We start from the raw sequence: 12,336 nt of genomic DNA, 5'->3' as shown, positions 1-12,336 counted from the left end.
ATTTTCAATACTAGGGAGAAACTGATTTTATCACATTATAATGTTTATTGCAAAACAAAGTCATAACTATATTTAAAAATGTGTATGTTGGTCATGTTTATTTAAAATTACATTTAAGGAATCATATATGACTCATACCACAAATGTAATTCATCAGACACTGATCATAGCATAGCTATTTCTCATAAAACATCACTATGGTTTGCTATATCATGCTTTCAGCACCTTTCTGAAAGATAATATGCTATTTTAAAATAAACAGTATGTAAATAGTAGTGTCTGTTTTGCTGGAAGGTATAGTTTGGAAAGAAACAATTTAAATTTTGCATAAAAGCAGTTGGTTGTAAAGCATAATTGATGCATTCTTTTATACTAATTAAAATTTTCATACGTACTCTTTCATGTTCTGCTATTTTTTTTGATACACAGTGTGGATGGAACTATTTTCTAAAATTTGCGGTATTCATAGGCTTTTGTTTTTGGCAGTTCTTTGAAAACGATTTGGAGATTGTAAAATAATAGTCAAAGACTATTCTCATGTTTCTCATAAGTATGAGGTGATGGAGAGTGGGATTTGCTTTAATTTGTGACATTAATTGGGGTATGGGGAGTTTTAACATTGATTACAGTTTTTCAGTGATATCTATTGCACTTAAATCTACCTTTCCCGTCATCTATATTTTATTCATATAATTCTCAGGTAATTTTTAGCATTGTATTTCACTTCAAAGCTGAAATATGATTGGGAGAAACTTGATCCTTTGATGTTAAACCAAGGTACCTTTGGCCAAGGCTGTGAAATTCTGTATGATTCATTCAAGAACACTCGAAGGCCAGTGCACAAAAAGATGTCTTAATCTCCTGAACATCCTAGTGTCCAGGCTCAACTCTGGCACCAAGAACAGAGTTCTACACAACTTTTTCCCAGCATCAAGAAAATCCTTGTTCCGGCTTTACCGAGTTTACGCTGGGAGCAGTCAGCTTCTGGGTGACAGTCAAGTGGAGCATCTCTGAACTCCCAGTTATTCCGTGTTTTTAGTGTTTTTGTATAGTTAAACTTGGTGGCTGGTTCAGTCAATATTTTTTTCTTGTGAATCAGTATACCAAGGAAGATTTTTGAATATCATCTGCTTAAAAGTGGTAGATATAAAAATAAAGATCTGTATAAATAAAAAATCTGTATTTCCAAATTTCCTCTTAAAAGGCTACCAACCGTATTCAATTAAGGGCCACCACAACTGTCTAATTTTAACTTAATTACCTCCTTTAAAGACCTATTTCCAAAGACAGTTACATTCTGAGGTGATGGAGGTTAGGACTTCAACATATTATAGAATTTTGTGGGACACAGTTCAGCTCATAACACCATGCTATATTGATTGAATTGGTGTAATTTCCTATTCATTGAGATAACTCATACCTTTTCCTCCCTGCAGTAGCCTTCTGCTTTCAGGCCCTCCTCCATCATCACCGCCATCTGTGACCTAGCCTCATATACCCTGACAACATGGAATCTCATCACTGTGGATCCCCTTCACCTTCCCAACATCTAAGCCTCTGTCTGTCCTCATCTTCGATCCTTTGTTGATATGCCCCTCCTTTCAAATGCCATGCCTGGGTTCCTGTTGAAAACAATGAATTGTGCCGGTGCGGTCACTCATGCCTGTAACACTAGCACTTTGGAAGGCTGAGGTGGGCGGATCACCAAAGGTTAGGAGCTCAAGACCGGTCCGACCAACATGGAGAAACCCAGTCTCTACTAAAAATACAAAAATTAGCCGGGTGCAGTGGTGCACGCCTGTAATCCCAGCTACTTGGGAGGCTGAAGCCGGAGAATCGCTTGAACCCAGGAGGCGGAGGTTGCAGTGAGCCGAGATCGAGCCACTGCACTCCAGCCTGGGTGACAGAGCAAGACTCCATCTCAAAAAAAAAAAAAAAAAAAAGAAAAGAAAAAAGAATATTGTAAAGGAGGTGGAAAAAAAGATAAGTGTACAGGAAGTCCAAGGAAAGAGTAACAACAAACTTCTTGACATAAACCATGCAAGCCAACAGGGGAACATGACTTTTTTTTTTTTTTTTTTTTTTTTGAGACGGAGTTTTGCTCTTGTTGCCCAGGCTGGAGTGCAGTGGTGCGATCTCGGCTCACTGCAACCTCCGCCTCCCGGGTTCAAGCGATTCTCCCGCCTCAGCCTCCCAAGTAGCTAGGATTACAGGCATGCACTACCATGCTTGGCTAAGTATTTTTTATTTTATTTTATTTTATTTTATTTTATTTTATTTATTTTTGAGAAGGAGTTTCACTCTGTCCCCCAGGCTGGAGGGCAGTGGCACAATCACTGCTCCCTGCTCACTGCAAACTCCGCCTCCTGGGTTCACACCATTCTCCTCCCTCAGCCTCCTGAGTAGCTGGGACTACAGGTGCCTGCCACCACGCTCGGCTAATTTTGCATTTTTTTGTGTTTTTAGTAGAGATGGGGTTTCTCCACGTTGGTCAGGCTGGTCTGGAGCTCCTGACCTCAGGTGATCCACCCGCCTCAGTCTCCCAAAGTGCTGGGATTACAGGCGTGAGCCACCGTGCCTGGCCTGAAAACTTTTTAAAAAGCTGTCTGCCTTAAAGTAAGGTGGGGTAGGGAGAAGCAATAAAGGTCAGAGCAGAAACCAATGATATTAGAAAAGTAAAACAATAGAAAAAAAAAAGGATATTTTTGAACATCAATAAAATTGATAAATCTCTGGCCAGAATAATCAGGAAGAGAGAAGACATGAATTACCATTATCAGAAATTAGTAAAATGGCATCATTAAAATGTTTACAGATTTTAAAAATATAACAAAATATTAACGACTTTATTCCAATAAACTGGACAACTTAGATAAAATAGACAAATTCCTTGAAAAACACAAACTACCAAAGCCCACTGAAGAAACAGATAAACTGAACGGACTTACATGTTCAATAATTGGATTTGTAGTTAAAAACCTTCCCACAGGGAAGACTCCAGGCCCAGACAGTTTCATTAGTGAATTTTACCAAACATTTCTGGAATAACACCAATTATATATAAACTCTTAACAGAAAATTGAAGAGGAGAGAATACTGCCCAACTCAGTGTAAGAAGCCAGTATTATCCTGATATGAAAACTTTAAAAAGACTTATCAAGAAAAATCTACAGAACAATATCCTTTATGAACATAGATGCAAAACTTTAAACAAAATTTTATTTGAATCCTTACAATATGTAAAAACATTACAACATCATGATCAAATGGAGTTTATCCTTTGAATGCAAGGTTGGTTTAGCGTTTGCAAATCACTCTAATTTACCTTATTACCACACACACACACACACAATCATGACTAAATGACTAATCATTTAGTCATTTAACAGCTAAAATGACTCTTTTGGGTTTGTTTGGCTGTTGGTTTGAGACAGTCTCACTCTGTCGCCCAGGCTGGAGTGCAGTGGCGTCCTCATGGCAGCATCTCCAGGGCTTAAGTGACCCTCCCATCTCAGCTTCCTGAGTATCTGGAACTACAGGTGCGTTCTACCACGACCAGCTGATTTTTGTATTTTTGTTAGAGATGGGGTTTCTCCATGTTGCCCAGGCTGGCCTCAAACTCCTGACCTCAAGTGATCCTCTTGCCTCAGCCTCCCGAAGTGCTGGAATTACAGGCGTGAGCCACCGCTCCTGGCCTGATCTACACTTTCAATGCAATCCAAGCTAAAATCCAGTAGGTGTTTTTGCGGGGGTTATGAGGTGTAGAAATTGACTAGCTGCTTCTAAAGTTCATGTGGAAATTCAAAGAACCTTGAATTACAAAAACAACTTTGAAAAAAAAAAGTTGGAAAACTTGTACTACTCAATTTCAAGACAAAATGTAAAGCTACAGTAATCAAGAGAGTGTGATGTTGGCATAAAGACGGACAAATAGCTGGGCGCGGTGGCTCACACCTGTAATCCCAGCACTTTTGGAGACTGAGATGGGTGAATCACTTGAGCTCAGGAGTTCAAGACCAGCCTGGGCAACACTGTGAAACCCCACCTCTACAATCTCTACTAAAAAAAAAAAAAAAAAAAAAAGTGAGCCGGCCATGGTGGCAGCATCTGTGGTCCCAGCTACTTGGGAGGCTGAGGTGGGAGGATTGCTTCAGCCCAGGAGGCCGAGGTCGCAATGAGTTCTGATTGCACCACTGCACTCCAGCCTGGGTGACAGAGAGAGACTCTGTCAAAAAAAAAAAAAAAAAAAAAAAAAAGCAACTGAATAAAACAGAGTTCAGAAGTAGGTCATTTAACATACAGGCTATTTTCAACAGAGATACACAGGTAATTCAGTGGGGAAAGGACAGTCTTTTGTAAAAAAAAAATGTGCTGAAACAAATGGGTATTCTTTTTTTTTTTTTTTTACGGAGTCTCCCTCTGTTGCCCAGGCTGCAGTGCAGGGGGGTGTGATCTCAGCTCACTGCAACCTCCGCTTCCCGAGTTCAAGCGATCCTCCCAACTCAGCCTTCCAAGTAACTGGGACCACAGGCGTGTGCCACCACGCCTAGCTAATTAAAAAAATTTTTTTGTTTAGAGATGGGGTCTTGCTATGTTGCCCAGGCTGGTCTCAAACTCCTGAATTCAAGTGATCCTCCCATCCTGGTCTCCCAAAGTGCTGGGATTACAGATGTGAGCCACTGCTCCCGACCTCCTTCTGAAAATTTTTTTTTTTCTTGACGAGATCTCACTCTGTCACCCAGGCTGGAGTGTAGTGGTGCAATCTCAGCTCACTGCAACCTCCACCTCCCAGGTTCAAGTGATTCTCCTGCCTCTGCCTCCCGAGTAGCTGGGACTACAGGCACCCCCCACCACTCCTGGCTAATTTTTGTAATTTTAGTAGAGACAGGGTTTCACCATATTGGTCAGGGTGCTTGAACTCCTGACCTCAGGTGATCCACCCACTTGGCCTCCCAAAGTGCTGAGATTACAGGCGTGAGCCACCACACCCAGCCACAAATGGGTATTCTTAAACAAAAAATGAACTTTGTTTTTTGTTTGTTTGTTTGTTTTGAGACAGAGTTTCGCTCTTGTTGCTCAGGCTGGAGTGCAGTGGCACGATCTCGGCTCACTGCAACCTCTGCCTCCCAGGTTCAAGTGATTCTCCTGCCTCAGCCTCCCGAGTAGCAGGGATTACAGGCACGTGCCACCACACTTGGCTAATTTTTTTTTGTATTTTTAGTAGAGACGGGGATTCACCATGTTGGTCAGGTTGATCTCTAACTCCTGACCTCAGGTGATCCACCCACCTCGGCCTCCCAAAGTGCTGGGGTTACAGGCATGAGCCGCCGCACCCAGCCAAAAAATGAACTTTGATCTGTACCTCATGCTATATATAAAAATTAACTCGAGTGGATTATGAACTAAATAGAAAACCTAAAACTATAAAACTTCTAGCAGAAAACATAAGGGAAAAATCTTAGTGACCTTTGGTTAGGGAAAGATTTCTTAAATATGACCCAAAGTGATTCATTAAACCAACATTTGAGAAATTAGACGTCAATAAAATTAACGTCTGCTTTTTAAAAGACACTGTTAAAAGAATGGAAAGACAAGCCACATTCTGGGAGAAAAATATCAGATAAAAGCCTCATATCTGGAAAATATAAATCATTCTCAAAATTCAATAATAAAAGAAAACCAAAAACATTTAAATGGGCAAAATATTTTAACAGTCTTCAAAAAAATACGGATTGCAAAAAAAAAAAAAACATGAAAACAAATTCAACACCATTAGTCATGAGGAAAATGCAAATTAAAACCACCATGATATACACATCCATTAGAAGGTCTCAAATGTAAAAGGCTGACATTATCAGCCCAGCACAGTGGCTCATGCCTGTAATCCCAGCACTTTGGGAGGCCCAGGCGGGCGGATCATGAGGTCAAGAGATTGAGACCATCCTGGCCAACATGGTGAAACCCCGTATCTACTAAAAATACGAAAATTGGCCGGGCGAGGCGGCGCACACTTGTAATCCAAGCACTTTGAGGTCAGGAGCTCGAGACCAGCCTGGCCAACACAGGGAAACCCTGTCTCTACTAAAAATACAAAAATTAGCTGCGCGTGGTGGTGGGCACATGTAATCCCAGCTACTCGGGAGGCGGAGGCAGGAGAATTGCTTGAACAAGGGAGGTGGAGGTTGCAGTGAGCCAAGACTGTGCCACTGCACTCCAGCTTGAGTGACAGAGCTAGACTCCATCTCAAAAAAAAAAAACCAAAAAAACCAACGTTAGCCAGGTGTGGCAGCGTGTGCCTGTAGTACCAGCTACTTGGGAGGCTGAGACAGGAGAACTGCTTGAACCCGGGAGGCGGAGGTTGCTGTCAGCTGAGATAGCGCCACTGCACTCTAGCCTGGCTACAGAGTGAGACTCCGTCTCAAAATAAATAAATAAATAAAAGCAAAGGAAAAAGATCTGTACTTAAATGTTCTATCAGCTCCATTATAATAGTAAAAAACTAAAAGCAAGAAGTATCATTATCAACTGATGAATGGATACACAAATTGTGGTATACATACACGAAATTTATCCACCATCTATTTTGGTGTTAGGTTTATGTTGTACTCATAAAATGAATTGGAAGCTTTCCTCTTCCTTTTTGTTGAGACGGAATCTTGCTCTGCTGCCCAGGCTGGAGTGCAGTGGCACGATCTTGGCTCACTGCAACCTCTGTCTACTGGGTTCAAGCGATTCTCCTGCCTCAGAGTAGCTGGGACCATAGGTCTGCACTACCATACCTGGCTAATTTTTGTATTTTTAGTAGAGACGGGGTTTCACCATGTTGGCCAGGCTAGTCTTGAACTCCTGATCTCAGGTGATCCACCTGCCTCTGCCTCCCAAAGTGCTGGGATTATAGGTGTGAGCCACCGTGCCTGGCCTCGCTTTCCTCCTTTCTCTACTGTCTGAGAAGTTTATGTAAGATTGGTATTATTTCTTTTTTAAATGTTTAATAGACCTCACCAGTGAAACAATCTGGGCCTGATGTTGTCTTTGTGGGGAAGTTTGTTGTTTTTGATTTTGTTTTAGCATTCATCATTTATTTATCCATCATAGTGAAACATCTGTCATTTGTTTTCCAGCATACTTTCTCTGCTAACATCTCTGATTTTCCTCCAGGAATCTCCCCTCCTCCTTTTTCAGCCCTTTGCTTCAGGTGGGGCTTTTCCTCCGCCTCAAGAATGGAGCTCAGCCAATTAGCAAATCACATTTCTGTGACTACCGTGATTGCTTCAGGGATGGCTATGTGATCCATTCAAAGTCCTTGGTATGATGATGCTTTTTTGTGGCATGCTGAGATAAGGACACTTTGTGTTTCTATTGGATATGAACCTCCAAAGATTAACTATGGCTGTGCAGTCAGTTTTCCAATCACATGGAAAATGGAACCAACTCTAAGAAAACATCTTTTTTTTTTGACAAGGTCTCATTGTGTTGCCCAGGCTGGAGTGCCGAGGAGCAATCACAACCTGCTGCAGCTTTGAGCTCCTGGGCTCAATGAAACCTCCCACCTCACCCTCCTGAGTTGCTGGGACTATAGACGCATGCTGCCACGCCCAGCTGATTTTTGTGTTTTTGGTAGAGATGGGGTTTCACCATCTTTCCCAGGCTGGTCTCAAACTCCTGGGCTCAAGTGATCCTCCCACCTTGGCCTCCCAGAGTGCTGGGATTACAGGCATGAACCACTGCACTGGGCCAATTATCTGTTTTCTTTTGTCCAAAAATGTCTTTATTTCCCCTTCATTGCTGAACAGTATTTTCATCAGATACAGGTTACACATTGGTAGTTCTATTTTTTTTTTTTTTTTTTTGAGACGGAGTCTTGCTCTGTCACCCAGGCTGAGTGCAGTGGCACGATCTCGGCTCACTGCAACCTCTGTCTCCCGGGTTCAAGTGATTCTCCTGCCTCAGCCTCCTGAGTAGCTGGGATTACAGGCATGCACCACCACGCCTGGCTAATTTTTGTATTTTTAGTACAGACGAGGTTTCACCATGTTGGTCAGGCTGGTCTCGAACTCCTGACCTCATGATCTGCCCGCCTCAGCCTCCCAAAGTGTTGGGATCACAGGTGTGAGCCACCGCGCCTGACCCTGGTAGTTCTATTCCTTCATCACTTGAGAAAGGTGCCACTTCCTTCTGGCCTCATGTTTTCTGATGAGAAATCCACTGTCTTTCAAATTGTTTTTGCCCTATAAGTAGGGTGTCATTTCTCTCAAACCACTTTTGATATTTTTCCCTTTGTCTTTAGTTTTCAGAAGTTTATGTTGGGTCTTGACTTGGATTTATTTGTATTTATTTTGTCTGTGGTTCACCCAGGTTTTCAAATCTGGAGGTCTATATCTTTTGCTAAATTTGGGGAATTTTCAGCCATATATATATATATATATATATATATATATATATATATATATATATATCTTTTTTTTTTTTTTGAGACAGAATCTTGCTCTGTCGTCCGGGCTGGAGTGCAATGGCGCTAGCTTGGCTCACTGCAACCTCTGCCTCCTGGGTTCAAGGGATTCTCCTGCCTCAGCCTCCTGAGTAGCTGGGACTACAGGCGCCTGCCACCATGCCTGGCTAATTTTTGTATTTTTAGTAGAGAAGGAGTTTCACCATATTGGCCAGGCTGGTCTTGAACTCCTGACCTTGTGATCTGCCCACCTTGGTCTCCCAAAGTGTAAGCCACCACTTTCAACCATATTTCTTTAAATAATTCTTCAGCTCCCACTCTCCCTGCTCCTTCTCAAATTCCAGTGATGAGAATGTTAGATTTCTTGTTACAGTCTCACAGGTCCCTGAGACTGTGTTCTCCAACCTACAACCATCCCTGGCCACAGGTCTATTTCCTGCTTTTTTTTTTTTTTTAAGATAGAGTCTCGCTCTGTCGCCAGGTTGGAGTGCAGTGGTACGATCTCAGGTCACTGCAACCTCTGCCTCCCAGGTTCAAGCGATTCTCCTGACTCAGCATCCCAAGTAGCTGGGACTACAGGTGCGCGCCACCACACCCTGCTAATTTTTGTATTTTTAGTAGAGACGATGTTTCACCATGTTGGCCAGGATGTTCTCCATCTCTTGACCTCGTGATCCGCCCACCTTGGCCTCTCAAAGTGCTAGGATTACAGGCATGAGCCACCATGCCCAGTCTATTTTCTGCCATTTTTAAAATTTATTTTTTCTGAGACAGAGTCTTCCTGTGTCACCCAGGCTGGAGTGCAATGGCATGATCTCAGCTCACTGCAACCTCCGCCTCCCAAGTTCAAGTGTTTCTCCTGCCTCAGCCTCCCGAGTAGCTGGGATTACAGGCACCTGCCACTATGCCCAGCTAATTTTTATAGTTTTAGTAGAGACAGGCGGGGTTTCGCCATGTTAGCCAGGCTGGTCTCAAACTTCTGAACTCAGGTGATCCACCCACCTTGGCCTCCCAAAGTGCTGGGATTACAAGGGTGAGCCACCCCACTCAGCCTTTTCTGTTGTTTAATTCCTATTGTTCTGTCTTCATCGATTCTTTCTTCTGTTCCCTTCATTCTGTTGAGCCCATCCATTAAGTGTTTTTATTTTGGTTATTGTATTTTTAAGTTCTAAAATTTCCATTTGGTTCTTTATGTGTCTGAGTTCTTTGCAGAGATTTTCTTTTTCACCTGTTTGAAGAGTGTTTGTTATTGCTCATTGTAACGTTTTGATGAAGGCTGCTTGTCAGATAATTCCAACATCTGGGTTGGTGCCTCTTGTATTTTGTCATTCAAATGGACACTTTCCTGGTTCTTGGTATGATGATTTTTTATTATATTTTGGACATTTTAGGTATAATGAGATCCTGGATCTTCTTTAAACCTTCAGTTTGAGCAGCCTCCTCTGAAACTACCCCTACAAAGGAAGCAGGGTGCTTCTTCTACAAAGGAGTACAGGTGTTTCTTCTCCTTCCCCTTCATCCCTTTTCAAATGTTACCACCCTTCATAGCATCAAATGGATTCCATTGCATGCACCTGCACACATGCAGAAGTGCATTCACAGAGCACTGTATGGAGCTACGTGCACCGATGGCTCGGGAGGCCCCCCTGCTGGTTTTGACTTATGATGTAGTTTTTGCCCTTGGGTGGAGGACACTTTGCAAAAGACACAGCCTCCATCCCTGCACACCCAGCCACCACCACAAGGCTGGGAGGGTGGGGAACAGGGGGTCCTCATTCTTTATTCATAGCCTCATGAATTTCAGGGAGCACAGGCAGCGTTAACCCCAGGAGGGTTGGTTGGTTGCTTCCTTCCTCCTTCCTTCCTTCCTTCCTTCCTTCCTTCCTCCCTCCCTCCCTCCCTTCCACAAACATATTCGGAAAGTGTATTTCATGACTAGCACTGTGCCAGACACTGGAGATAATAAAGAAAAACAGCACTGGGCCTATAATTGGGAGTCTAGATACATGATATGGAAATGCAGCTGACAATGCAAGGAGCAAGAGGACTCGCACAGTGGTGCATGGCAGCTTGCTGTCATTTTCTGGGCACAGAAAGTGCTGATGGAAGGGAATGAGAAGGGGAAAAAGGAAGGATGACAGGAAGGGAGGAGGGAAAGAAGGAAGAGGAAAAAAGGACAGGAGGAAGGGAGAAAGGCTTCTGCCAAAAAATTAAAATCAAATTTTTGACATTCTTTTTATTTGCCTGTTTTGAAACAAAATGACACTTGCCAGACACCAGCTTCCTGGCCCATGTCCTGGTCCTTGGTATCCAGATGACAGCAGTGTGATCCTGCTGTGAGTTCCTTCCGTGCCCTCTGATCTGAGTTCCTGAAAGCAGACAGCCACTCAGGAACTGCTGTCTCTCAGGCCAGCTGGCTGGTGACGGGCTTTTGAAGACTCTGCTCTCTCTCCTGCTGGGAGAGCTCCCCAGGGGCCACCAGGAGCCAGGTGATCACTCTCAGCCTCTGTGAGCTACTGGAGGTCACCAGACCTTCCCACACCCCGGGCAGGTGCCAGGGCCTTTAAGGAGGCTTTCTGCTCTGCAGGGATGTTCTGTGGGCTCCAGTATTCTGGCGAGCATCAGCTTATTCTCGGCTTAGTCTTCTTGCTCTATAGCTCCTGCCTCTGTTTTGCTTCTTTTTGGTGATGCCCTGTTTCCACCTTATGAAGAGGGCCTGTAAAATCCAAGCTCTGCACAAACCCCCAGGGGTGGTTAGGGGCACCGGAGAAGGGTTGTGTGTCGACCACTTGGTTGGATTTTACATCCCTTGGACTTGAATACTTATAATTTAAATTTGAGTCTCTGTCAATGTAACTCTTACATATTTTCTTTTTTAAAATTTCTTTCCCCAAAGTCTAGGGTATATGTACATATGGTCAGCACCATGAATCTGTTCTGAAATTTTCCTTTCTGCCAAGATTCTTACACAATTCATCTTCATAGATCAACAATAAATCCAAATTGGAGTTCCCTTTATTGCTTCCTCTTTTTGCTTTTCATTTTATAAGTAATTCAATATTTATTTGGAAATAATGTGAAATATTTAAAATGTACACAAGGGATATAGAAAAATTCAATGAACTACTGTGCATCCACCATCCAATGGAAGAAATAAAACATTATCAGTACATTGGAAGCCCTCTGGGGACCCAGTCCCAGGCTGCATATTGACCTCCCCACAGACAGATAAACACCACCATGAAACTAGGGTTTATAATCATCATACTTCATACCTTTCGTACATATGCTTGTATCTCTATGTAGTATGCAGTGTATTAAGTGGTTCTTGAATTGATATAAAGAGACACCCGAGACTGGATAATTTATAAGAAAAGCAGGTTAATTGGCTCATGGTTCTGCAGGCTATACAGGAAGCACAGTGTCAACATCTGCTTCTGGGGAGGCCTCAGGAAGCTTACAATCATGGCAGCAGACAAAGGGGGAGCAAGAGTGGCAGGGGAAATGCCACACTTTGTAAACAACCAGATCTCATGAGAACTCGCTCACTAGCCTGAGAACAGCATCAAACCATGAGGGATCTATCCCCATGACCAAAACACCTCCCACCAGGCCCCACCTCCAGCACCGGGAAGTACATTTCAACAAGAGATTTCAGTGGGGACAAATATCCAAACAATATCATTCAGCCTTTGCCCCCTCCCCCCACAAATCTCATGTCCTTACGTTGCAAAATACAATCAGGCCTTCTCAAATGTCCCCCAAAATCTTTTCTTTTCTTTTTTTTTTTTTGAGACGGAGTCTCGCTCTATCGCCCAGGCCGGAGTGCAGTGGAGCGATCTCAGCTCACTGCCGGCTCTGCCTCCTGGGTTCATACCATTCTCCTG

The sequence above is a fragment of the Homo sapiens genome, chromosome 13 (assembly GCF_000001405.40).
Source record: "Homo sapiens chromosome 13, GRCh38.p14 Primary Assembly".
NCBI classification, from domain to species: domain Eukaryota; kingdom Metazoa; phylum Chordata; class Mammalia; order Primates; family Hominidae; genus Homo; species Homo sapiens.
The sequence above is the reverse complement of the archived record's forward strand: the minus strand, read 5'-3'. Positions refer to the sequence as shown.